Source organism: Homo sapiens, chromosome 12 (genome assembly GCF_000001405.40).
Source record: "Homo sapiens chromosome 12, GRCh38.p14 Primary Assembly".
In the NCBI taxonomy this organism is placed as follows: domain Eukaryota; kingdom Metazoa; phylum Chordata; class Mammalia; order Primates; family Hominidae; genus Homo; species Homo sapiens.
In genome coordinates this window covers 3,936,618-3,964,569 of record NC_000012.12, presented here as the reverse complement: position 1 = coordinate 3,964,569, position 27,952 = coordinate 3,936,618, and the positions used below count along the sequence as shown (strand labels likewise).

The window sequence follows — 27,952 nt, the reverse complement described above, 5'->3', positions numbered from 1 at the left end:
CTGCAAATGATAGCTGTTGGGGAAGAAATTGCTTAGATTAAATCCTCGCTTCTTTCCAGACTTTCCTTTTTCAGCCTCCATGGGCTTTCCCCCTTCATCTAAATAAATCTCTCCACCACTCACCGTCCCAACAAGGGTGCCTGGCCCAAGCTGGGGCGCTTCAGGAATGAAGGAGACAAATGGTGCCCATCCCGTCTCAGTGTGGGCCACAGCCTGCTGGTGCTATTCTTGCTTCATGAAGCTTCCTGGCTGTCAGTGGATAGCAATGCATATATTAAAACTCGGTATCCTACTCAAGGTTAAATTTTATTAGATTGTGAAGTGGGGTCAAGTTTTCTAATAATAATCACTAATGCTTAAGGAGCACTATAAGCCAGATGCCATTCTAAGCACTTTATATTGATTGATTGATTGAGACAGAGTCTTACTCTATTGCCCAGGCTGGAGTGCAGTGGCACAATCATAGCTCACTACAGCCTCCAACTCCTGGGCTCAAACAATCCTCCCACCTCAGCCTCCCGTGTAGCCAAGACTACAGGCGCGCACCAACACGTCTGGCTAATTTTTCACAATTTTTGTAGAGATAGAGTATCCCTATGTTGTTCAGGCTGGTTTCAATTGATCCTCCTGCCTTGACCTCACAAAGAATTGGGATTATAGTTATGAGCCACCATAGCCGGTCCTCAGTACTTTACATATGTGTGTGTGTGTGTGTAGTAAATATATATATATATATATGTTTACTTCTTATAAAAACTCTTAGAAGTAGGCACTGTTGTCTTCTCTCATTTTAAAGATGAGGAAATTGAGGCATGAAGGGGTTAAGTAACCAGCTCAAGATCACAAAGCTAGGCGGTATAACTGCAGAGCTTGTGCTTTTAGTGCAGGATATCGTCCCAGGGCCATCTTGGACAAGCCATGCAACACTGACATTTCCAAGGACCCGAGCTTCAGATTCTTCATCTGCCATGTGAAGGGGCTGGACTAGGAGCAGAGGTTTCAGACTTTTCTTAGAGGTGGATCAAACATACACAACAGATAACAGGGCACTTGCTGGAGTTAAAGCCGGGACCCAATAACCCTACTCACTTTTCCTCTCCTCCCCAGCTGCTTTGGTTCTTAAACTCTTGGGAAACATCTCAGGACTCCAAGGAACTACTGGTACTTATTAGCATGTCTTGTATTTCAGGCATTGTATTAGGTGTTTTAGAAATATCACACACTTAATCCTCACAACCGTCTCATGAGGGAGCTGTTATTATGCTCATTTTACAGATGAGTAAACCAAAGCACAGAGAGAATGAAACAGCCCAAAGTCACAGAGCTAGCAAGCAGCAAAGCTGGAACGCGAAGGCCGGACCTTTTCACAGCCCCTCTGACAGCAAGAACTGTGCTGGAAATCAGTATATTGGAGTCTGGTTCCAAGCATACTCCTCAGTCACAGTGCCAGGGAAGGAGAAGGTGAAGATGATCCCTCCTGCTGGGAGTGGGGGAAGCTGAGTAGAGGTAAGCTTACAGCTGGTACCAGGACCCACTGGGGCAACCCTGGCCCAGCTCAGGCCACCTCAAGCACATAGCTAATCACCAGAGCCAGAGCCACCTCTGCCTTGCAGAAGGTGTAGGTCAAAGGAAACCGTCGTGATTTAAGCTTTTACTCTCAGCTTTCTTTCTAGTGTCTGGCACCCACACCTAGGAGGCAATAGAAGCAGAAGTGTGTGCCACCAGCCCAGACATGAGCCGCCTCTAGGAGGAAGCAGCAAGCCCTTGCTGGGCAGGGCTGTGGGCTGAGTCCACGTCACTCAGCCTCCTTGGTGGCTGCTTATCTCAAACTGGCAGTGAAGGAGAAATTGTTGGTTAGGGGCCCCTGGGAGGCTTTCTTTTTTGCAAGCATGTGTTTGTTCTCAAGTTTGTGGTGGTTGCTCTAAATCCAGAGTCTAGACAGAAAAATGATATCAACAGGTCCTCAGCGCCCTCTCCCAGTTTAAAAAAGACCTTTGAAGCACGGCATCTTGGTAAAAGAGAATCAGAAGGTCCGTGTTTTAGTCCTAGCTCTGCTCTTACTGGCTGTATGACCTTGGGTTAAGCTCATTCCCTCTCTGGACTTAGAGAGGGGAAGCGACTTACTAAGTTCACCCAGCAAGCTATGACACAGTAGCACTTAAAGCTCAGCCCCTGCTCCTTTCTCCGGCACCATGGAATGGATGGATTCGTTAAATCACCGGATTTATTCACAGAGTTAACAGACATTTACTAAGCTCTCCCTCTGTGCCAGGGACTGTGCTAGGAACCGGGAATCCTGTCATGAACAAACACACTCCAAACTGGAGGGGAAATCTGAAACCATCTAGTCCTTTGCACTCCATTTAAGGATGAAGAAAGTAAGGCCGAGAGGGGGAAGCAGAGTGACCTGCTCAAGGTCACAGAGAAGGTGACGTGGTGTACAACGACCTTGACGGCATGCTGACCATGAAGACAAACTGCAGAGATTGATGTGGTACATTTAGCTGAATTTTGTGACTGAGGGCTGTTAAAGAACGAGAAGAGAGGAGAGAAAGCCTTATTTGGAGGCCTAGAAGTCACAGACTGAGACGTCAATGCCAAATCTTTCATTTCCCACTGTGGCTTTTTGTTCTCTCTCTAGGAATAGCAAGAATTTTGTACATAGCTGGGAATGAAAGCGAGGAAAATGGTACCGGGATAAAGTTTGAGAAAACTATTTCCTTGTAAAGTCCGTGCTCCAACACTGGCCGTGTGCCAAACAGAGAAGTGCCCCTGCATGCTTTTCTGACCGTCTCAACTTGATGAATCTGAGGATGTATCCAAGGATGGCGGATCATGAGACTCACAGTCCAAAGGCGTGTCAGATCCCAGACTGCTTCGTGATCACAAGAAACACATTGCCAACTGAGTTTTGATGACACTTATTTTTCCTCCTGTGAAACCTGAGCATTCCAGTTAAAGACTGGAAGCATGCTAATTTTGTGTGAACTGAATTATGGGTTATTATAAAGCTCACCATTTCAAGTGAGTCTGAGTCTATTGTTAACCAGAATATCATTCGCTCATTTGTCTTTTCAGTAAGTTTTGATTTTAAATTTTATATCAGATTTTTTTAGTGTCTGACTTATTAAATATGACCATCGTTGAACATAAACTCTAAGATAAATCCAAAGAGGCAGGGAATAAAATTTGAATTCACTCTTTATGGGCTATATACATAGATACTGTCTTCATCATTTACTTACTCAGTCACCAGTGAAGAAACAAAAATAAATAAGAAAGGGTTCTTGTCTTTGAGGAATTTGCAGTCTAGTGGAGGAAACAGTTGCATGAAGAGAATATTTGAGTATAATGCAATGCATGCTCTTACAAAAATATACTGAAAGTGCAATGGTGAAGGCTATACTTTTAAGAAAAGATGAAGCACTTCCACTTTCCTATACCATAAGCCCCTACAAAAAGAGAATGTATTTCATGCCAGCTCATATAATGGAAACATAAGGCCCAGAGCAATTGTGCTCACTAAAGCAAGAATTAGGAGATCCACCGTCCTGAGCACTTTTCCACACAACCTCCAACAGCCCAGCCCGCTTCCCCTGAAAAGCCTGAGCTCAGACAGGCCAGTGCTCCTCCAGGACTTGGGCATCCCCTGAAGGTGATGGGCCTCAGCCCAGTGAACTGCTGGGACTGGCGGCTTCGGAGATCTCCTGGCTGGGAAAGAAGAGGGAGAGGATTGAGCCCCTGCTAAGTCACTCAATGACTTTTTCTTATCAGTATTTGTCCAGGTTCCTGGATGGAGGTCACCTGCCCTGAACACTAAACTCAGAGAGGTGAGGATGGTCTCTTGAAGGGCAAGAGTACTCAAAAAACTAGCAGAACTGGGAAACCAGAAAATTGGGGTGCAGAAGGAAATAGGGTGGAGAGAAGAGGGAGTCAGGCTAATGCGGGGAGTTTATAGTTTCTAGATCTAGTCAGATCCCACCTGGTGGAGGTGCAGACTTCACCAGCCTTACGTCCACCACGAGGGAGGAGCATGTGTCGGCCCTGAGCATTCATGTCCCAGCCAGACCACAGCTGAGTCTCAGGCTGAATCCATCTGTGGAGATTGGCCCCAGGGTGACCTTGGCCTCTTTCAAAACCTGTTCAGTCAGGCCAAGGATGGGAGGAATGGCAGAAGGCCAGATGGCAGGGGTTGAAGCTGGGGTGGGTGCCACGGCTGATGGGTTCAGGGCCCCTGGCTGGACTTCTGTCCTCATCCTTGTCAAACATTCCTGCTTGTGGCTGGCAGGAAGAAGTGGCGGCTGTGGAGAATTAGTAATGAGATACGGAGTCATTCACCTCCAGGTCACTAGTTCAAAACCAGGTCACCAGTGAGGCAAAGTTCCAACCAAGGGGGCAGGGTGGGGGTTTCATCTGAGTGGCTTGAAGGCAGATATTTGCCCTCCCGGAAGACAGCTCAGGCAGGTCAGCGGGGGCCACAGGGCAAGGAGCTCTGTCCCGCTGACATGAGATGCAGGTCTGGAGAGGCCTCCATGGCCTTCTGGCTCCATTCTCTCCAAGACCTCCCTCCTCTGCCCCCAGGCCAGGTCACACATTCAAGTCAAAAGAACCCAGGTAGGTAGCAGTTACTCAGATAATCTGGTGATAGCCCTGTTTACTTAGAAATTTCTGCTCTCTGAGGGCAGAGGCGGTATCTCTCTAGCACATATTTTATTATTATTTTTGGCCTTATCATTATCTAAATTTATTTATTTACTTGTTTGTTTACTTGTCTACCACCTGAACCCTACCACTATTATTACTTAAGCTCTTTAAAAATGGAGACCCCATGTACGCCTGCCACTTTTTAGGTGCTTAAGAATTACTAATTAAATGAATGAGTCCATAAAAAAAGAATGAATTCCTGGTGCCTGCCTCCCACTGTCTGGCAGACAGGATGTGCTCAAAGATATTTGCTGAATAAATAGATGAACAAATAAATGGATGGATCACGGAATGAAAGTTTTGAGAAATAATCAGTTTCCAGCACGCCAATGATAACATTTTTACAGATAGAGAATTAGGAAGTTTTTCTTTTCTTTTTTTTTTTTTTTTTTGAGACGGAGTTTCGCTCTTGTCACCCAGGCTGGAGTGCAATGGTGCGATCTCCGCTCACTACAACCTCCACCTCCCGGGTTCAAGCGATTCTCTTGCCTCAGCCTTCTGAATAGCTGGGATTACAGGCGCATGCCACCATGGCCGGCTAATTTTTGTATTTTTAGTAGAGACAGGGTTTCCCCATGTTGGCCAGGCCGGTCTTGAACTCCTGACCTCGTAATTCACCCGCCTCAGCCTCTCAAAGTGCTGGGATTACAGGCGCGAGCCACCGCACGTGGCCAGGAAGTTTTTCTTAACACCAACCTAAAGTCTCCAAACCCAAAGCAGAGTGCTTGGCTCACATTAGGTGCTTGGAAAATGTTTCTTGAGTGGATGAATGCTAAGTGGATGAGTAAATGGATGGATGGATGGACGGACGGATGGATGGATGGAGCAAACAAATAAGACTAGCATGCATGATGAAGCAAAACCCAAAACAAGTTATGAAAATTAATTTTTTTCCTCTTTATCCAAAATGATAGCCTTTTGGTTCCCTCTCTTCATAACTATAGATCTGGAATTTTCTCATGCATTCAGTTTCTACCTAGTTAAGTTTATTCAATCATTCATTCATTTGTTTAGCCAACACTTGCTGATATGGTTTGGCTGTGTCCCAATCCAAATCTCAACTTGAATTGATCTCCCAGAATTCCCATGTGTTGTGGGAGGGACCCAGGGGGAGGTAATGGAATCACGGGGGCCGGTCTTTCCTGTGCTATTCTCGTTATAGTTAATAAGTCTCACGAGATCTGAAAGCAAGGGTTTCTGCTTTTGCTTCTTCCTCATTTTTCTCTTTCCGCTGCCATGTAAGAAGTGCCTTTTGCCTCCCACTATCATTCTGAGGCCTTCCCACCCATGTGGAACTGTAAGTCCAACTAAACCTCTTTTTCTTCCCGGTCTCAGGTATGTCTTTATCAGTAGCGTGAAAACGGACTAATACACTCAGTGAGTGTGTTCAATGTGCCAGGTACATACAAGGGTGAGTGAGAGAGAGCCCAGCCCTGTGTCCAGAGGTGGAGTCAAGTTCACACTTGTGTCCATGCCAGTCACTATGCCACGGGTTACAACAACGAGTAAGGCAGCCTGGTGGTGTTTTGGTGGTGCTGTCTGCCTTAGATTACAAAAATCTACTCAGTTAGATATAGCAGCAGAACTTAGTCATGAATCAGGACTGACATGTAATCAAAATTGTAGATGGGCTGGGCATGGTGGCTCATGCCTGTAATCCCAGCACTTTGGGAGGCCAAGGCAGGTGGATCACTTGAGGTCAGGAGTGGAGACCAGCCTGGCCGACATGGTGAAACCCCATCTCTACTAAAAATATAGAAATTAGCTTGGCTTCATGGCCTATCCCTGTAATCCCAGCTACTCGTGAGGTTGAGGCACGAGAATCACTTGAACACAGGAGGCGGGGGCTGCAATGAGCCAAGATCGCACCTCTGCACTCCAGCCTGGGTGGGCAACAGAGCAAGACTCTGTCTCAAAATCAATCAATAAATAAGTTGTAGATGGACTGTTTTAAATCTCTTTTCCACGTATTGTGGCTCACCTAGCACCTCTGACAATTAGTGGCTACGTGGAGATTTTTAACAATAAGACTGCTTACGACACCCACAGAGGTCATAATTTCAAACTATACTTCTCTTGGCAAGAATCAAGTAGTCTCGCAATCCAAGAAGTTTGCTATAGCATTAATGAGTAACCACTATGTGCCAGGGATTGTGCTAAGGGTTGGGGATGGTACATAAAACCCTGTGTTGGCCTCTAGAAGATCTGAATCTAGTCGAAACATAAAAACAGAGACCGTGCAATGTAATAACGATCACAAACAAGGAATATTCAAATGCAATGGCAGCATAGGAGAGAACTTGATTGATTGTATTTTGGGAAGTTGGAGTGGGTTTTACAGACGAGTTAATATTTGAGGTTTGCTTTGGCCAGAGAATAAAAGTTTGTGAAAGGGAAAACAAAGACCCTTTGGGAGAAGGGCATGGCATAGCCTAAGTTTGACAGTTGTAGATGTATGAAAATTTGTAGAACCATGAGTTGTCTGTGTGACTAGAACGTAGCATGTGCAGAAGAGAGAGATGGAAATGGAACTGGAAACACAGGTATGAACCAGACTGTTTTCTTTTTTCTTTTTGGAGATGGAGTTTCGCTCTTGTTGCCCAGGATGGAGGGTAATGGCGCGATCTCGGCTTACCGCAACCTCTGCCTCCCGGGTTCAAGTGATTCTCCTGCCTCAGCCTCCTGAGTAGCTGGAATTACAGGCATGCACCACCACGCCTCGCTAATTTTTGTATTTTTGGTAGAGATGGGGTTTCTTCATGTTGGTCAGGCTGGTCTCGAACTCCCGACCACAGGTGATCCGCCCACCTTGGCCTCCCAAAGTGCTGGGATTACGGGCGTGAGCCACCACACCTGACTGTTTTCTAAAGGCAATGCTGAAGAGCTTAGTTGTAATGCCCAGGTAATAGGGGGTCATCAAATTAGGATTTTTGACCACTTACGTCAGGGGGTTAGGTCTCCATTTCCTACAATATGGCAGCTTAGATGACCTAACAACTCTCCTACAAATGCTGAACAAATGATAATGTACATTTTTCTAAATGCAAAGCTGAACTCACAAGAAAATAAGGAAGACCTCCTGGAGGGAAAACAAGCAAGAACTGAAAACAAGTGCCGTCAGTGAATGGAATGAGGTGAGGCAACTCAGGGTGTTGGGACAAGTACTGGGGGGATTAGGTTTTTAGGCATTTCTAATTGTACATTTAAAACGTGTAGAATGGGGCCGGGTGCAGTGGCTTACACCTGTAATCTCAGCACTTTGGGAGGCCAAGGCGGGCGGATCACGAGGTCAGGAGATCGAGACCATCCTGGCTAACACGGTGAAACCCCGTCTCTACTAAAAATACAAAAAAATTAGCCGGTCGTGGTTGCAGGTGCCTGTAGTCCCAGCTACTCAGGAGGCTGAGGCAGGAGAATGGCGTGAATCCGGGAGGTGGAGCTTGCAGTGAGCCGAGATCGCGCCACTGCACTCCAGCCTGGGTGACAGTGCGAGACTCTGTCTCAAAAAAAAAAAAAAAAAAAAATGTGTAGAATGGGTTTTTCAGATCCGCAGGAATATTGACTATGGGGCCTGTGCCTGTGCTGGGTGGAGAGTTGAAATTAGGCCTTCACGTAAAACCAGGAAAGATTTGTAAGGAAGGAAACACTCTACTCACCTACAGAGAAGAAGCTTTTGACTGTTGAGACTGAGCTATGAGTAGAAGGGAAAAAAATGTTCCTGAAATTTCATAACCATGTGACCAGCTTCCTGAGAGTCAGAGGTTTGCATTTACCTTACTTGAATGGTCTGGGAGTCCCTAAGTCAACAAAATAATGAGAAGTCCTCTTTGGTGGATGATACTACTGGGGCCCCAATAAGAATCATCCACAAAATGGACCTGGTAGGACTCAAGCTTAATGCATTTCTCTCAGAATTCTCACTGCCAAAGTGGTGAATTTTCAATTCTGAAGTTATAGTCAGAATTGAGTCTTACAATTATAGAATTGTGAGTTCTACAAGAGTAGTCTCAGCCGGGCATGGTGGCTGGCGCCTGTAATTCCAGCACTTTCAGAGGCCAAAGCAGGCAGATCCCTTGAGCTCAGGAGTTCGAAACTAGCCTTGGCAACAAGGTGAGAACCTGTCTCTACAAAAAATACAAACAATTAGCTGGATGTGGTGGTGTGCACCTGTAGTGACAGCTGCTTGGGAGGCCGAGGCAAGAGGATCACCTGAGCCTGGGGGCTTGAGCCTAGGTGACAGAGTAAGACACTGCCTCAAAAAAAAAAAAAAATAGTAGTCTCACAGAATAGTCTCATAACCTGCTGTCAGCAAACGTCAGCAGGTACAACAGGCAACAGGTGTAGACTACTAAGAATCAGAAAATAGAGCTATTGAAGAGAGACAATAGCTTAGTATTTTTTTTTAAAGTTAAAGATATATAAAGAAAAAATGGAAAAAATAAAAACCGTAAGACACTATGAATGAAACCCAGACAGATTTGAAAAACAAATAGAACTTAGAAGAAAAGTGTGGTAATTGATGAGGCTTACATATAACTGTAGTGAGAATATAAGAGCTGGAAGATTTGAGAAAACTGCCCAAAATACAACACGGAGACAAAAAGAGACAGAAAAGACAAAAGCAAGATTAAGAGACGTGAAGGACAGAATGAAGGTAAATGTATTACTAATAGAAATTTCAGGAGGAGAACATTAAGAGAATGAGGAGAGGAACTAATCAAAGAGAAAATGGCTAAGAATTTTCCAGAATCTATGAAAGAAATGAATCTTCAGGGCAGGAAATGAGTCCTGAGAAAAATCAATGAATGAAATCAGTACCAGGTCACATCACAGAGAAACTCTTAAAAACGCAAAATAAAGATATTTTTAAAACAACTAGAGAGATGTGTGGATTGCCTGTAAAGCAACTAACTGACTTTTCAAAAGCAATGATGGAAGCCAGAAGCCCATGGAATGATATTTTTAAAGCGTTGAGAGAAAATAACTGTCTGCCTTCATTTTTACCTCTTTTAACTGTCATTTTAAAATGAGGGGAAATAAAGATATTTTTACACAATGACCAGGAGAATTTACCATTCAAGGACCCTTGTGGGAAAAATATTCTAGACTATGGACTTCAGGATAGAAAAAATTGAACCCCAAGGGAGGTGAAGGCAAAAAGGAAGAACAATCAAGGAAGCTGATAAACAAGTAGGCAAAGTCAGAAATTCATCCACTGCTCAAAATCACCATAAGCCGGGCATGGTGGCTCACACCTGTAATCCCAGCACTTTGGGAGGCCAAGGAAGGCAGAGCTCTTGAGCCCAGGAGTTTAAGACCAGCCTGGGCACCATAGCAAGACCTCGTCTCTACTAAAAGTAAAATTAGCTGGGCACAGTGATGTACGCCTGTAGTCCCAGTTTCTTGAGAGTCTGAGGTGGGAGGATCAGCTGAGTCCAGGAGGTCGAGACTGCAGTGAGCCATGATCATGCCACTGCACTCCAACCTGGGTGACAAAGCAAGATCCTGTCTCAAAAAGAGAAAACAAAACAAAACACCCCCAAACAACTATAATGACAATAATAACAAAATTGGGGGGTGTAAATATAAGGTGGGCCAGGCACAGTGGCTCACGCCTGTAACCCAGCACTTTGGGAGGCTGAGGAGGGTGGATCATGAGGTCAGGAGATTGAGATCATCCTGGCCAACATGGTGAAACCCAATCTCTACTAAAAAAAAAAAAAAAAAATACAAAAATTAGCTGAGTGTGGTGGCACGTGCCTGTAATCCTAGCTACTTGGGAGGCTGAGGCAGGAGAATGGCTTGAACCCGGGAGACAGCGGTACAGTGAGCCGAGATTGTGCCACTGCACTCCAGCCTGGCAACAGAGCCAGGCTCTGTCTCAAAAAAAAAAAAAAGAAAAAGAAAAACAAACCAAACAAAAATAAGGTGGAACGATCTAAAACGCTGCATGGCGATAACACATGTGATGGGTTACAATGTCTAAATTCCGTCTATTATTTGTGAAGAGAGCAGTAACATTAACTTTAGACTTTAGGTCAAATGTGCTTGACAAAAGTTTAGGGCTCACCACTAAAACACTGGAAATAGAGTGTGTAATTTCCAAATTAATAGAGGGAAAAGGGGAAAATAAAGAAAACTTGATGAAACCGAAAGAAGGCAGGAAAGGAGGAAGAAAAGGCATTAGAAAGCATAGTAAATAGAAACTACAAAAAGAAATGGTGGAAATAAATCCAAATATATTAGGAAACAATAAATGTAAGTGAATTAGACTCACTAGTTAAAAAATGATTGCCAGGTTCAATTTTTTTTAATAAAAAGAAAACTTGCTTATGCTGTTTTAAAAATACATACCTAAGACAAAAGGACACAACAAAAAGGCTGAAAGCAAAAGGATAAAAAGAGATATACCAGGCAAGTAAGAGTCAAAACAAAGTGTAGCTATAATAACTGTAGCAGAAAAAAAGTCTGAGGCAAAAAGTGATCATTATATAATGATGAAAGGATCAATTTATAAGAAAGATATAACAAATGCAAATTGTATTTATCTATTATAGACTTTAAAAATGTATAAGACAAAATTTGAATGAATTACAAGGAGAAAATTTTGAATCTTTATAGGAGATTTAAAAACACACCTTTCTGGTATGTTCAAATCGCATAAAAATTGGCATGAATTTACAAGATTTGAATGACACAATGAACAAGATTGATCAATCTTGTATTCAACAATTGAAGACTGTACATTTTTCTCAAATGCACAAGAAATATTTGAAAAATTAACAAGTTACTAAACCACAAAGCAAGTCTTAACAAACACCAAAAAATAAATACCATATAGTTCACCTTCTCTGATCAAAATCTAATTAAGATAGACATGAACAACAACCAAAAAAGTGACTTTAAAAGAAAACAACACCAAATGTTTAGAATTTAAAACATTTCTAATTAACTCGTGGATCACAAAAAAAAGTATAATAGCAATAAATAAATATTCAGACAGAACAAAATTTAAAATCCTACATAAAACTGGAGGAATATAAGGTACAGAGAACAGTGGTTCTGAATAGGGGGACTTTTGCTGCTCAGGGGACATTTGGCAGGTCTAGGGGCATTTTTGGTTGTCACAACTACGGGCAGCTGTTACTACCATCTAGCAGGTAAAGGCCAGAAATGCTGCCATCCCTACAGTGCATAGGACAGCCCCCTACAATAAAGAATTATCGGCCGGGCGCGGTGGCTCACGCCTGTAATCCCAGCACTTTGGGAGGCCGAGATGGGCGGATCACGAGGTCAGGAGATCGAGACCATCCCAGCTAACACGGTGAAACCCCGTGTCTACTAAAAATACAAAAAAATTAGCCAGGCGTGGGGGCGGGCGCCTGTAGTCCCAGCTACTCGGGAGGCTGAGGCAGGAGAATGGTGTGAACCCGGGAGGCGGAGCTTGCAGTGAGCCGAGATGGCGCCCCTGCACTCCAGCCTGGGCGACAGAGCCAGACTCCGTCTCAAAAAAAAAAAAAAAAAAAAAAAAAAAGAATTATCTGGCCCCAAATGGTGACGGTGCGTAGGTTAAGAAACCTTGACTTAAAGAAAAAGTTATGATCCTAAATATTATATTAGAAAAGAAGAATGATAACTATGCCGGCGAGGTTGAGGATGGATTAGAAAAGGGAGCCCGTTGGCAGAGAAAATTAGTAGGCTATTGTAATAATTAAGACAATAATGAGGACGTAGCCTAAGGCTTTGGCAACAGAAATAGAGAAAGAAAAGAGATTCAGGGTAAAATGGACAAGATTTGGAGATAAATGAGGCAGAGAAACTAGTAAAAACAGAAATGGCTCAGTAGAGACACTCCAGGGTGGGAACAAACCACATAGCTTCACAGATGCATTAGTGTGCCACGGTAGACCACGGGGGCTGGTCCTGATGGGCACCCGCAAGCAGTGCGCCCCAGGGAACAGGGCATCAATGCGGTGTGGGCTCCTGCGGAGTCCAAGAGCCTGCCCGAACTGCAGCGGTGCCCCAGAGAAAAAAATGAGGTTAAGGCCGTGTCCAGGGAGGTGGGAAGATGCAGTGACGCGGGCTCTAGAGACAGGATGCAGTGAAGAGAGGGGAGGGCATTCTTTGTGAATTCTCAGGCACGAGATCACCTGAGGTGCGGGCGTGAATGGGCTTGGTCCCCAAATCCTTGCCTGGTTTACAGGGATACGATGCAAGTCACGGAAGAAGAGTTTCCAATTACACCATGGCGGAGAAGAAAGAAAGAAAATGACACAACCACACGTACCACAGCTCAGAGTTTCAAAGACCACGTTAAGGTGTGATTCAAACAGCCATTGTGCAGCTCAAGCACGTTCCAGACTCAAGTCTGTGTAAACAGAGTTATATTTACTAGCACAAGGCCTGAAATAGAAATCCCGCAGCAAGCTCCTCTCTCATTAACGGGGTCTCTTTCACACCCTAGGGGATACCCATGAGCGGGCTGTGTCAATTGTTAGTGCCAGAAACAGTGGCTGGTTGAGAATGCCTTTTCTTTCACATTTTACAGGGAAATTCACATGGAACCAGATTCAATAGTCTCGCGACATCCTTGTTAGAAACACTTAGATTTTTCTCTTTTTGGCAGTAGCTGGTCTCCATGAGTTGATGTTTGGTGTCAGAACAGCCTCAAACAGGTGGCTGAGGGAATTTGTAGGCTCGTTTAAAATCGTGCTTAAGATACTCACAAAAGCAACTTCTCTAGGCCGCTTTGAAGGTCCTGGGACATTTCTGATCTAAAGAGGTGTTTTGTGGTTTGTTTTGTTTTGTTTTGTTTTTTTCCTATCTAGATAAAAGATAATGTTAGTCAATGCAGCTGGCACTTTTTATTCATTTGTTTCCCATCAATCTCTGTCTTTCTGAAATAGACACAGATCTTTATTTGGTGTGTCAGTGTGTGGGAGAATGGCATGCAGACACAGGATAACAGGCACAGAGACAGTGCCTGGTCTATGTTCATGTGCTGTCCTCTGTTCAGTTGTCTCTCCTGTTCAACTGTCTCTGTGAACTAACAATATGTAGAACATCCCCTAAGTAAATGGTGGTGGTGGTCGTGAGGAGAAGAGAAAGCAGAGAGAAAGACCAAGCGATGTAGGGCAAGAGAGATTAAAGATAAAGAGAGGAAGAGACAGGGAGAATGGCAGGAAGGAGAGGAATGAGTGGGGCCATTTTCCACTGCTCTTAGCCGGCAGTTTCTGGGCTTTCAGTCTGCGTGTGGACAAGACATGTCCGTGTCTCTGAGAATGGATCTACCTGGTTTCCTGGGTCTGCTCCTATTTGGGGCCTTAGGGTTATGAGGGAGGAGTGGAAGGAAAAGGCGATGGCAGCTTTAGTTTCAATGGGTGCAGAGCTGGGATGGTGGAGGGAGGCTGATATCACTGCCCGCCTGGCACTGGGCACTTTTCTTACTCTACCAAGGGTCAGGAAGGGAAATTGGTGGGACTTGTACAGACTGGCTGAAATGTTTGTGGGCTGAAGTGATTGTTAGATTTCAACTTTAAGATGTTAGCCTATTTGAAAGTTTCTTTGCCTACAAAGATGAATTTCTTAGCACTCTTCCAGGAAAAACAAAGCTGTTACAATGAAAAATTTCTCTTTTATCTTGTGGAAGAATTCTTTATGAATACCTCCCTGTATATCATAGTACCTTATGTTTATTTAAGTTATTTTCACAGCTGCAATGTCGTCTGGTTCTGTAAGGAAGTTAAAGGTATACTGTATCTCTCTTTCTAGCCCTAGGACATAGGTATGCTTCCTTCTTTCTGATGATAAGAATTATGTAATTGGTCATTTCTTATTACTTTGGTTACCAGGAAGCTCAGAACCAAATTTGTAGCACAAACATCACTTATTCTATTTGTTCCTTGTGTTGATTTTTCCCTGGGTCTGTTTTTCATTTGTTTCAAAGTATACATTGCCATTCTATTCTGAGTTTAATAAGAAATTAATTGCATTCATTTAACAAATATTTATTTGTTACCGAAACACCAGGGGTTTGGTCTAGGTCCTGCTGCTTACTGCACAGAAAGCCAATAACTGAGACGATTATTGCCAAGGAAGAAGGCTTTTGTCGGGTGCTGCAGCCAAGGAGATGGGAGCTCAGTCTCAAATCCATCTCTCTGACCAATTAAAATTAGGGGTTTTTATAGCAGGGAAGAAATGTAACAATGTGTCAGAAAACAAGAATTAGGAAGGGGTAAGGAAACAAAATGGGGGACCTGGTGTCATTGTCTTGATGTAGTTCTTTGATCTGGTGAGTTTTAGTTCTTTGATACTTTGAGAGGCCTGGGGGTCCTTTCCTGAGGAAGGAACTCAGATAAAACAAATGCAAGTTTCAAGCTTTAAGATCAGAAGGGTCCATTTTTATGTTTATCCAAAAGAACTGTCTGTGGGGCTGCTAGGTTGGTTTCATACTGATTCCCTCATTCTCTATTCTTCTCGGTTTTATTTATCTCCACATCCCTCAATACCATCTAAGTTATATCTCTTATTTATTATTTATTGTATACCCTCTCACTTCCTACCACTGTCAATAGAAATTAAGCTCCAGGGATGCTGGGTGCGGTGGCTCACACCTGTAATCCCAGCACTTTGGGAGGCCGAGGTGGGTGGATCACAGGGTCAGGAGATTGAGACTAGCCTGGCAACATGGTGAAACCCCGTCTCTACTAAAAATACAAAATTTAGCCAGGCATGGTGGTGGGCGCCTGTAGTCCCAGCTACTCAGGAGGCTGAGGCAGGGAAATCGCTTGAACCCGGGAGGCAGAGGTTGCAGTGAGCTGAGATTGCACCACTGCACTACAGCCTGGGTAACAGAGTGAGGCTCTGTCTCAAAAGAAAGAAAGAAAGAAAGAAATTAATTTAGCTCCGTGAAGGTAAGGACTCCACTGCACTCCAGCCTGGGTGACAGAGCGAGGCTCTGTCTCAAAAGGAAGGAAGGAAGGAAGGAAGGAAGGAGGGAGGGAGGGAGGGAGGGAGGGAAGGAAGGAAGGAAGGAAGGAAGGAAGGAAGGAAGGAAGGAAGGAAGGAAGGAAAGAAAGAAATGTAGCTCCGTGAAGGCAAGGACTTTTTCTCTTTTTTGTTCCATACTGTATTTCCAGAGTCTAGAGCAGAGCCTAGCATACTGCATGCAAAATACCTGTCGAGTGAAGGAATTACCTATTGTATGTCAAGTTCTGTGCTAAAAGATGGGAATCAGAGATGCAACCTGTGCAGTCTCACAGGGCCTCAAACTCAGTCCCCTCACTTAGCTTCACGCGCTGCTGTCACTATCATGAAATTCTTAATATGTTTTGAACAAGGAGCCCCACACTTCCATTTTGCACTGGGCTCAACAAATTCTGTGGCCAGTCCTAATGGAAACAGGGTTATTACTTTCAAGGAGGTTTTGATCTACTTGGAAAGGAATTATTAAAAAAGATACATATCCAGTGGCTCATGCCTGTAATCCTAGCACTTTGGGAGGCCAAGGCAGGCGGATCAGTTGAGGTCAGGAGTTCGAGACCACCCTGGCCAATGTGACAAAACACTGTCTCTACTAATACAAAAATTAGCTGGGTGTGGTGGCAGGCGCCTGTAGTCCCAGCTACTCAAGGAGACTGAAGCACGAGAATCACTTGAACCTGGGAGGCAGAAGTTGAAGTGAACTAAGTTTGTGCCATTGCTCTCCAGCTTGGACGACAGAGTGAAACTGTGTCTCAAAAAGAAAAAATATATCTATTTACCCTAAATATTTATTTTAACACAAACGATGTATATGTATGTATTTATATCTACATATCTACATGAATCTTTTGATGCAGAGCCAATGCCTTTTTCTTTGTCATCTTTCTTGTTTAAACCACACCCTTAACGCATCATCTATGATTTCCTGTTTTCATTTCTTTAAAGTGGAGAGAGAAGTTGAAGACACACTTGAAAAGTAATCTGACTGCAGAATTCTTCTTTAGTTTTATAATCCACTGCACAGTCTTTCGCAATTGTCTTACCCATTCCTAAATAAGTAGCAAGTTTTGATGCCTCACCTTTGTCGAGTCTGTCCAAATTATTCAATTTAGTTCTCATACAAACGAATACCATTTGCATTCACATTTCATTGGCTTACGTAATATTTAATTCTATTATGTAAGTTACAAAGATGTGTACAACTTTCAAGTTGATGGAAACAAATACAAATGACTCTTGATAAACCAAAACTGAACAAGAAAGAAGCAGAAATATTCAGACATATTAAAGAGTGGCCTCCCAGCCACCAGCAATCAAGATAAGGCGGACATCAATCAGTATGCCTCACAGAGAGGTGGAAAATGCTGATGAATCTGGGAAGCTGCTTAAGTATAGATTGGTTAAGAGATGTTTTATGGTAATTAATGGTATGAGAGCAGATAACAGGAAGATTGAGCTAGGTCAAGGAAATCACAGAAGGCTTTCCCGAGGAAGTAATGGCTGAGATAAACTCCAAAAAAAATAAAAGATAGAAGTTTCCTGGGGGAAAGAAGAGGAGTATTCTAGGCTACAGGAATAACATGTACAAAGGGCCCGTGGAAGGGTGGAGACTCGGCATATTCAGAGACCTAAAAGAAGGTGAGAATAACTGGAACTACAGGATGAGAAGAATCATGGGGCATGATGAGCTAGGGGAGTCAGGAGGGAAAACCTGACAGGCCTTGTGGACCTGCTAAAGATTTTGAGTTTTATGATGGGAGCAAGGAAAGCTACTGTCTTAGTTCATTTTGTGTTGCTGTCACAGAATACCCGAGACAGGGTAATTTATAAAGAAAAGAGATTTATTTGGCTCATGGTTCTGCAGGATGGGAAGTTCAAGATTAGGCATCTGGTGAGGGCCTCAGGCTCTTTCAATTCATGGTGGACAGCAGAAGGGGAGCCAGCAAAGAAATCACATGGTGAGAGAGGAAGCAAGAGAGTGAAACCGAGGAAAATAGATTCGTTTTAACAACCTGCTGTCTTGGGAACTAATCGGCCTTGCCAGAGTGAGAATTTACTCACTACCATGAGAATGGCACCAAACCATTTATGAAAGATGCACCTCCATAGCCCCAAACACCTCCCACTAAGCCCCACCTCTCAACACTGTCACACTGGGGCTCAAATTTCAACATGATAGTTGATGGAGACAAACTCAAACTCAAGGGTGTTTGAATATCCAAACCATGGCAGCTACTAAAGATTTTGAGTAGGAGTATAACATTATCAGATTTGTGATTCCTAAAGAACACTCTGGCTACAATGTGGAGAACAGATTACAAGGGAACAAGGTGAATTTGGAAGAGCAGCCATGGTCCAGGTAAGAGATGCTGTTAGCTGGACAAGGGTTGTGAGGATAGAAATGAAGAGGATACTTAGAACTTGGTGATAGATTCAATCCTGCGAAAAGAGATGGTTAATCAAGAATGATATCTAGATATCTGGCTTGTAAAACTGGGTGGATGATGTCACTGTTGATTGAAATAGGAAACACTGGAAAATAACTACGTTTTAGGAGGAAAAGTCCTGAGGTTTTGGAAATTTCAAGTTCTAAGTGCTCTTGAACATGTAAGTGGAAGAGTCAGGTTGGATTTAATTATGTAGGTATGGCAAAAGGAGAAAAGGTATTGACTAAAGATAAAAATTTACAAACTGTCTTTAAATGATAGAAACAGAAGTAAGGATTAGATTACCTACAATGAGAATCCAGAATGAGAAGATAATTTCTTAACCGAGTCTGATATTTAATTGATGGATAGAGGAAAAAGAGGCTGTAAATGGGAGAGGGAAGTAGCAGGCAAAAAGGTTGGAAGAGAACTAGGAGGCATTGGGTAGTGAGAGTCATGGAAATAGAGCATTCCAAGAAGGAAAGTCTCCCGAGAGTTTAAGTAAAATAAGGGCTGTAAATATCCTTTGGAATTAGCGACATGGAAGTTACTCATGACTTCAGTGAACGCTGTTTCCTGGAGTGATGCAATGGTAGTCAAACTGGAGTGGGTTGATTACAGAGTGGGGGAAAAAGGAGATGGAGCTCTGCAGATCCTTTCCCAGAGGAAAAAGGAAATAGATCTATTCTCTCTCTCTCTAATATATGTGCACTTCCTTATCTCTCCAGAAAGGACTTTCTGTATGACTTTCAGCAAGATATGTAATTTCTCTGAACCTCTTTTCTTAACAATAAAATAGGGATTTGTGAGTGCACGAGTATACAGACACAAATATGGAGATATATGTCTCCATATGTGAACATATATATATCTCTATCTGCCTATTATCTATCTGCATATATATGTATGTGTATGTGTGTATACACACACACACACAAATCCCTATCTTATTGTTGAGAAAACAAGTTCAGAAAAATTATACGATTTGATGAAAGTCATTTTTAAAACCTGTAGCCAGGCGATGACCATAGACCAGTCTTTCTGACTTGTCACAGGCAGCTCAGTACGGGGAAAAAGGGGTTGAATTAAAGAGCTCTGGAAAATCACTCATCTCCTCTGAGCCTTGGTTTCTTTAGCTTTGCTTCACTTGTTGTGAAAATTGCAGGAGATAACCATGTAAAGAACCTGACACTGGTAGCATTCAGGGAATGTTAGTTTCCACGTCCTCCTTCCCTCCTAACTTCCTTCTCTCCTTTTCCCCTTAATCCAAGAAGAGAGGAATAAAATGAAGGGAGAGAGAGGATATGGATATTAATTTTGAGAAAGGCTATGAGGGGAAAATCAGGCTAAAATCAGTTGGAGAGATGTAGGTTAGGTGAAACAAACAGCGTATTGGCTATCAGGGAACTGAGTGAATAGAATGGTGCATCAAGGAGAACTAGAAACTCTTTCCCTGGAAGTCTTTCAACTAAGGCAATCATTCCTTTTAGGGTACTTCAAGCCCTTTGTTCAGTGCCATTGTCTCTGGCTTTCAGAGGGGGTGATACATTAACAAGTCTGAGAACTTTGTAAGCAATTCTGAAATAAACTCTTCATTAGCATTTCAGAGGAACATCTAAATGCCACCACTAAAGTGCAGGCTTCCATGGCCTCCTCAAAGCACATTGGGCAGATTCTTGTAATGCCAGGTCATTAAGCTGAGTTTCCAAGGGTGACTGAGTGGGAATGAGGCCGCTCCCAACCATGTGCCCCACCTCTTCATTCTGTCAGGAGGAGAGTGCAGAAAATGCAGGTTATCCCAGGCACCAATGCCCAGTTGGCCTCTGCCTCAGCCCAAAGATGTTAAACCAATTTAGATGGCTAGAGTTGGCAAGGGCATTAACTTTTTCCAAGCTATTTTTCAGGCATCCTGTTATTTCTCTAGGAGCCCAGTTAAAGAAGAGAACAGTTTCTTGTCAGCCTGACCCAGCATATGTGTAGATTTATCTAAAGGTTGGGACTGAGGTGAGGGTGGAGGGTGAACGACTCTCAGATACTGCCCAACACAAGGGGCATAAAATTTGCAATTCTGTAGATTACATGTGGGTTCTTCTACGCAGTTGAGTTTTGTGGGCTTTTTTGTTTGTTTGTTTCCCATGAACCAGCCCCAGAAGTTGCAAATGCCATTCTACGTGCTTGAAGAAACTATTTCCAAATAATTCACTCAGCATCACGGTGCTGGCCAGTAGGTCTATGTCCTGCTACTATAGTTAGGGGAGGGTGTGTGTGTGTATGTTGGGGGGCACAGATCTGGAAGAAAAATAAAGCCAACTGGATATAGTCAGAATAAATTTGAGAGTGGAAGAGTTGTATGGCTGATCACACTCAGCTTGTGGAAAAGGTTAAATAAATAACCTTGAGATCTGAATAAAACAGAGGAAGCTCAAACCTCCCATCGTTTCAGGGGGGTTTCTACAATTCATGGACTTAGCTGTCTTCCAGGGTCCCCGTCTTCAAATAGCTGTTTTCTGTCTACCCTACACAAACACTTAGGTTAAAAGCATGTAATCCTTTTTTCCCCCAAAGATTGAATACTCAACCGTAGCATCTCTTTCCTTGGTGAGTTTTAGGCATCATCAAGTTTTCTTGGTGATGTTTTAGGTTCAACATTTGGTTTATAATTTAAATATCACCATCAAAAGATAATCTAGTGCGCTTACAAGCAGATAATGCTCAGCCTTCTTTTCTCATACAAGATTAGAGTTTAAAAACATCTTAGAGAATGTAGAACAATCTGAGCATCAAAATAAAAAAATACTAAAGGAATATAACCCATTAATAACTCCACATTAATATAAATAGATAAATACTTTAGGGAGAAGGAATAACACTTTTTTTTGCCATGGAAAGTCAACTAATAAATGTAGAAGAAATGATGAAATTAGAAAATTACCATTTGGCAACCATCATAATAATAATTGGATTAGGCAGGAAACATCAATAGATCATAAAACTTTGAGGCATGCTTTTATATCATCTGAAAGTGTCTTCCCATAAGTCACTTGCTTACAATGGGGGAAAATGTCACTTTACAATGGGGAAACCTGGCAGACAACTTCTCAACTGAGCAATCAAAGTTACCATCACCAATAATGAGATATTCCTTGACTGTTGATATGAAGCACTAAGGAGAACATATCATTTCTTGAGGTGTTCCTGACAAAAACGTGTAATCTAAAATCACCAGGAAGTATAAGACAATGCCAACTTAAAGGACATTATACAAAAGAAGTGGGTTGAATTCCAAAAATATCTATGGCATAAAACACAAAGTTGGACTGGGCAACTGTTCCAGATTAAAGGAGACTAAATTAAAGACAGGATAAATTAATGTAATATGAACCTGGATTTTCTTTTGCAGTAAAGGACAGTATTGGGGCAACTGGTGAAATCTTTATAAAGTCTGTAGTTAAGACAGTAGTATTGTTATTGATGCTCATTTCCTAATTTTTTTTTTTCCTTAAGACGAAGTCTCGCTCTGTCGCCCAGGCTGGAGTGCAGTGACGCGATCTCTGCTCACTGCAAGCTCCGCCTCCCAGGTTCACACCATTCTCCTGCCTCAGCCTCCTGAGTAGCTGGGACTACAGGCGCCCGCCATCACTCCTGGCTAATTTTTTGTATTTTTAGTAGAGACGGGGTTTCACTGTGTTAGCCAGGATGGTCTCGATCTCCTGACCTCGTGATCTGCCCGCCTTGGCCTCCCAAAGCGCTGGGATTACAGGTGTGAGCCACCGTGCCCAGCCTAATTTCCTAATTTCTATAATTGTATTATGGTGATATTAAAGAATGCCTTTTTTTGTTTGTTTGTTTTTTGTTTCTTTTTTTTGGAGACACGGTTTCGCTCTCGTTGCCCAGGCTGGAGTATAATGGTACAATCTTGGCTCACTGCAACCTCCACCTCTCAGGTTTAAGTGATTCTCCTGCCTCAGCCTCCTGAGTAGCTGGGATTATAGGCGCCCACCACCATGCCCAGCTAATTTTTTTATTTTTAGTAGAGACGGGATTTTGCCATGTTGGCCAGGCTGGTCTTGAACTCCTGACTTCAGGTGATCCACTTGCCTTGGTCTCCCAAAATGTTGGGATTACAGGCGTGAGCCACTGCGCCTGGCCAAGAATGCCTTGTTTTTAAGAAAGGAAGGACACTCTGAACTGTGTAGGGTTGAAGGAGTGTCATGTTTGGAGTTTGCTCTCACACAGTTCATACACACACACAGAGAGAAAGAAAAGGATAAAGCAAAGAGGATGAAAAGTTAACCATGAATTTTTTGTACTAGGGTTTGTTCGTTTGTTTGAGACAGGGTCTTGCTCTGTTGCCCAGGCTGGAGTGCAGTGGCACAATCACAGCTCATTGCAGCCTCAACCTCCTGGGCTCAAGCAATCCTCCTGTCTCAACCACCCAAGTCAGCGGGACTGCAAGTGTGCACCACTACAGCCAGCTAATTTTTGTATTTTTTGTAGACATGGAGCTTCATCATTTGCCCAAGCTGGTCTTGAACTCCTGGGCTCAAGCCATCCTCTCACCTCGGCCTCCCAAAGTGCTGGGATTATAGGAACCACCATGCCCAGCCAGAAGAACTCTGGCCTGGCAACTTTTTTGTATGTCTGAAATTACATCTTAAAAAAATTTAAAGGAGGTCTTAGAGATCTGCTGTCAAATTTTCTTATTCTATAATACAGATCACTCTTTTTTTTGTTGTTGAGATGGAGTCTCACTCTGTTGCCCAGGCTGAAGTGCAGTGGTGCGATCTCGGCTCACTGCAGACTCTGCCTCCTGGGTTCATGCCATTCTCCTGCCTCAGCCTCCCAAGTAGCTGGGACTACAGGCATCCGCCACCATGCCCGGCTAATTTTTTGTATTTTTTAGTAGAGACAGGGTTTCTTGCAACTATATTCAAGGATGACAGCTTACAGGAGATTCAGAAAAGAGCTTCAGAAATGATCAAATTAATAGATCATAAAATTTTAGGAGCAAGATAACAAAATTACTTAGTTCAGAGTAGAGAAGACTGAGAAGTCTTTAAGGATATGAATGAACTTATTAACCACCAAAGCACTGCTGCTCCAGAATCCAGTATTGTTTTGAGGTTTCCTCAACAGACATGTAAGCAAGACATTTCTGACCAGAATTGGTGGTCAGATCCTGGCCCAGGTTGATAAAGCAACTAAGAGTAAGATGATTGTCTGAATGATTAGTTACATCTTTGCTTAGAAGTAGGGATACAGAGAAACCACTTTTAGAGTGGTGGTTCTCAATTTTCCTGAAACAGGATTTCCTGCAGGATGGACTAATCCCATTCACTGGTTGGAAGAGTACAAAAGGCCTTCCAGCCAGCAAATAGCTGCCCATGATCCTGTCTGCCTGTCTGATACTCCACTCCCTTTAAACTTTTCTCTGGATGGACCTTTTGAAGGCTCTGGGGAGATGGGATACGCGACAAGTAAATTTTGATGGGTAAGGAACAGAGAAGGTTCTGAGTCAGGACAATATTGAGAATGGTGGGCAGGGGAACTGTGGGCATTGGGTGTCCAGTATAATAATAAAGCTAACAGCCGTGTCCCAGAAAGAAAGCTGGCAGAACCAAGGAACCACGGATGTGATGGCTTGTCTGTGAATCCTCAGAGCCTGTGGGGCAGAGTCCTTGCTGAGCTGCCACTAAGTCATAATTCCATGGCTCAGTTGACACCGATCAAAGCCACCTTCTTTGTCATTCTTAAGCACTTCTTGTCCTTTTGTGGGCATTTCTTTACAACAGAATCTAAAATAAATCCTTTTCCAGTTTGCAACCAACCATTTTGGTTTCTATCCTTTTATCGCTGCATTTCTATACAAGAAACATTCCTTGTGTGACTGCTAGATGTCAGAACCCATGGTTATGAAGATAAGTAGTGCACTGCTGAGCTGGAGGGACTTCCAGCACTGTGCGGCAAGGCCATAATGGAGGTGTGAGCTGGGTGCTATGGAAGCACAAAGATGAAAAATTGACTTTGGCCTTGAAAACTAGGAGAGCATCACAAAGGAGACATTTGAGATGGGTTTTGAAGGATGAGTAAGAGTTTGACAGGCAGTGAAGGAAAGAGTGGGGACAAGGATTATTAGGTAGAGGAAATCATATATGCAAAATACAGATGCTCTAAACAACGTTATTTGTTCTAAAACTACTGTCTCAAAGTACTATATCAAAGGCTAATGTAAAAGCATAAAGAGAGAATATTTGCTGAGCACTTGCTAAGTACCAGGCACTAAGCTAAGTGCTTTAAGTTTATTAACTCAACTGATGATCACAATGGTCATGTGAGTTTTATTATCACCATTTTACAAAGGAGGAAACTGAGGTACAGGGATGTTCACATATGCGAAAGATTGGTCTAAGGATGGGAAGACGTAGCACAACAGGAGGCTGGAGATTTTAGATTGTGAAGGGCTGTTTGTGTCATGCTAAGGAGTTTGTATCATGTCCCTTGGACCAGGGTTTCTCCAGCTCCGTTCCGGGTAGGGGCCCAGGGGTCCTTTGGAGATGCCTCAGGGGCACCTGCTTGCATCAAGTGGTTGGTGGATCATGCTATGAGCTATTATTATTTTATTTAATGGGTTGCTGTTTTATTTAATGGGTTGCTCATTTGGGAACATTGTACTCCTTTCAAAGGAATGTCAAAAAAGCACTCCTTTTGGCCATGGAGAAGGATTACACAGTTTTAGACAGGAGAATAAAATGATTGTACTTTTTTATGTAGTTCAGTGTGGAACATGGATTAGATGGGGGGACACTGAGGACAGTGAATTTACTTCCTTTTCAAGAAAGAAAATGCCATGGTGTTTAGAACGTAAGAAGCTCCACTTAGATATTTGTCAACGATTCTTACTGCCTCAAACTTCCAGGTAGCCTTCTAGGACTTTTACAATCTAGGCTTCATAACTTTGATAGATTTAAAAAATACATATGTAAGAGGGTGGATATGCATCTCTGTGTCACTTGGGACTGGGATAATTTGTGTATGTAAGTTGCCCATGAAAACGAGGACTTGTACTTCTTTAAATACAGTGACATTTCTCTTACTCAGAATTACTTACTGTACAACTTCAACAGCCTAGGAACAGGAAGGCTTCAGAGCAGTCAAAATAAACATCATACTACTCATGCACTAAAACTCATGAAGCTTACTCAGGGCCCATTTGTTCTCGGTTTTCTTCTTCAGATTTAGCTCCTTTTGGCTTTTATTATTTTTAATTAACACATAATAATTGTACATATTTATGGGGTACAGAGTGATATTTTGATACATATGTATACAAATGTGTAATGATCAAATCAGGTTAATTAGCATATTCATCACCTCAAACATTTATCATTTCCTTGTGTTGTATCAAGCTAATTTTTATAGATGTTTGTTTTTTCCTGTGTTAAAGGATTTATGCCTCCACAGAACTGGTTCCTTGACCGAGAGTCAAATCCAGGCTGCAGCAGTACCCATTTATGAGTCCTAGCACAAATTCTTATAAATGATAATGCTTTATAAGCTGCTTTTGCATATATTATCTAACTTTAATCTTCACTCACTGTAATTTTTCAGTACTTCCTTACTTTCTGGCAATACAAGATGTTCCAGATTCATTTTGTAAATTTTCTGACCTAGTCCTAGAATCAGATATTTCTTCAAGGAGTCTGGGTTTTTGTTTGTCTGTTTGTTTGTTTGTTTTTTAATTGAAGAATGGTGTTAGAAATCAAGATCTGGGTGCTAGGTGTGCTCATTGCTATTGGAGACCCATTGGTTCTATGCCATTTCAGCTGGCATATCAAGGAAATGTATGTGTGTTCACTAACCTGTGGGTGTACAAGTCTATACGTATTTCTATGTGTAAACATCTATGTACGTAAATTCATACCAATGTCTTCAATTCAAAACCATTACCACATGGTTAATTTTAGCCTCCTCCCCTAGCAAACCTGTAATTCCCTAGTCCAGTAGTAAAAATCTGGCTACCACCACCTACCATCCATTTACTTAATTGTTCATTTCCAGTATACATGTATGGTAGTGTAGTGTCAGGCTGTGTACTCATATCCCCACGGGAAACAACCTACCAGGGAGAGTTCGGTGTTTATGTATCATTTCTTTTGACTGTAGTCTTACAGATTCTATTCATTTCCAAAGTTGTTTAGGTCAGCTCTTTTCCCAACTCCCACAGTGAGGTTGTTTTATGTATTTATGATAGAGTTAGATTGCTTCATCACCTTTATCATTCCATTCTGATGTTTCTCAACCTCTTAAATGATTTTTTTAAAATTTGTATGCATTAAGATTCATTCTTTGTGCTGAAAAGTGCAATGAATTTTGAATTTTGACAAATAGTATCCAACGTTACAGAATCATGCTGAATAGGTTCACTAAAAAATTTCTTGTACTTCACCTATTCAACCCTTCCTCTTGTCTCATGAGCCCTTGTCAGCCACTGATTTTTTTTTTTTTTACTCTGTTGCCCAAGCTGGAGTGCAGTGCCACAATCTCTGCTCATTGCAACCTCTGCCTCCCGGGTTCAGGCAATTCTCTGCCTCAGCCCCCCAGGTAGCTGGGATTACAGGCGTCCGCCACCATGCCCGGCTAATTTTTGTATTTTTAGTGGAGATGGGGTTTCACCATGTTGCCCAGGCTGATCTCGAACTCCTGACCTTGTGATCCACCTGCCTCAGCGTCCCAAAGTGCTGGGATTACACATGTGAGCCACTGTGCCCGGCCAGCCACTGATTTTTAAAACCATTGCTGTAGTTTTGCCTTTTAAGACTGGCTTCTTTCATTTATCAATATGCATTTAAGTTTCATCCATGTATTTTTGCCACTTTTTGTTCCATTTTTTAAATCACTGATGAGTATTTCACTGCTTGGATGTGCCTATTTTGTTTAATCCATTCACTTATTAAAGGACATCTTGGTACTTTCAGTTTTTGGTGGTTATAAATCAAACTGTTGTAAATATTTGTGTGCAACTTTGTGTGGACATAAATTTCAAATCCAGTTGCATAAATACCCAGCAGCACAAATGGTACAGGCACTTTTGAAGACAGTTTGGCAGTTTCTTAAACTGCCTTCAAAAGTGCCTGTACCACTTTGCATTTCCGCCACCAATGAATGAAACTTCCTGTTACTCCACATCCTCATCAACAATTTATATTGTCAGATTTGTGGATGTTGCAGATTGAAGCCGGTGTGTGGTGATATCTCATTATTGCTTTCATTTGCAATTTTCTAGCGACAAATGATGTTGAGCATTTTTTCGTATACTTATTTGCCATCTCTATGTCGTCCTTGATGAGGTATCTGTTCAAATTTTCCGTCTATTTTTAATTGAGTAATTGGGTTTTTTTACTGTTGCGTTTAAGAGGTTTTTTTTTTTTTTTTGCATATTTTGAATACAAGTCATTTATCAGTTATGTGTTTTGAAGATATATTCTCCCACTCTGTGGTTTGTCTTGATTCTCTCAAAAGTGTCTTTTTAGAGCAGAAGTTTTTTAATCTTAGTAAAGTCCAGCTTATCAATTTTTTTCAAAGGTGATTCTTTTGATCTCGGCTCACTGCAAGCTCCGCCTCCCAGGGTTCACGCCATTCTCCTGCCTCAGCCTCCCGAGTAGCTGGGACTACAGGCGCCCGCCCCCACGCCCGGCTAATTTTTTTGTATTTTTAGTAGAGACGGGGTTTCACCGTGTTAGCCAAGATGGCCTTCATCTCCTGACCTCGTGATACCCCCGCCTCGGCCTCCCAAAATGCTGGGATTACAGGCGTGAGCCACCTCGCCCGGCCAGCTAGAA

General features: G+C 42.6%; 1 long non-coding RNA gene across 2 annotated transcripts in view, besides 1 other annotated feature; it reads left to right on the top strand.

The window, feature by feature from the left end:
* Positions 1 to 5,926: 5,926 nt before the first annotated feature.
* Positions 5,927 to 27,952, top strand: part of LOC105369608 (uncharacterized) — a 36,272-nt gene continuing 14,246 nt past the window's right edge. Inside the window, exons 1-3 of one of the 2 annotated variants that reach the window (XR_001748965.2) lie at positions 5,927 to 6,001; positions 7,754 to 7,838; positions 12,908 to 13,845. This is a non-coding gene — a long non-coding RNA (uncharacterized LOC105369608). Of the gene's footprint in view, positions 6,002 to 7,753; positions 7,839 to 12,907; positions 13,846 to 27,952 lie in introns of those variants that run through there. The other variant, XR_931557.4, reaches the window with a different exon arrangement.
* Positions 19,234 to 19,747: an enhancer, noted in NCBI's record as "OCT4-NANOG-H3K27ac hESC enhancer chr12:4053989-4054502 (GRCh37/hg19 assembly coordinates)". NCBI's record gives its function as "activates a minimal SCP1, AML or CMV promoter by ChIP-STARR-seq in primed H9 embryonic stem cells {active_cell/tissue: H9 hESC(primed)}" and the evidence as "EXISTENCE:reporter gene assay evidence [ECO:0000049][PMID:30033119]".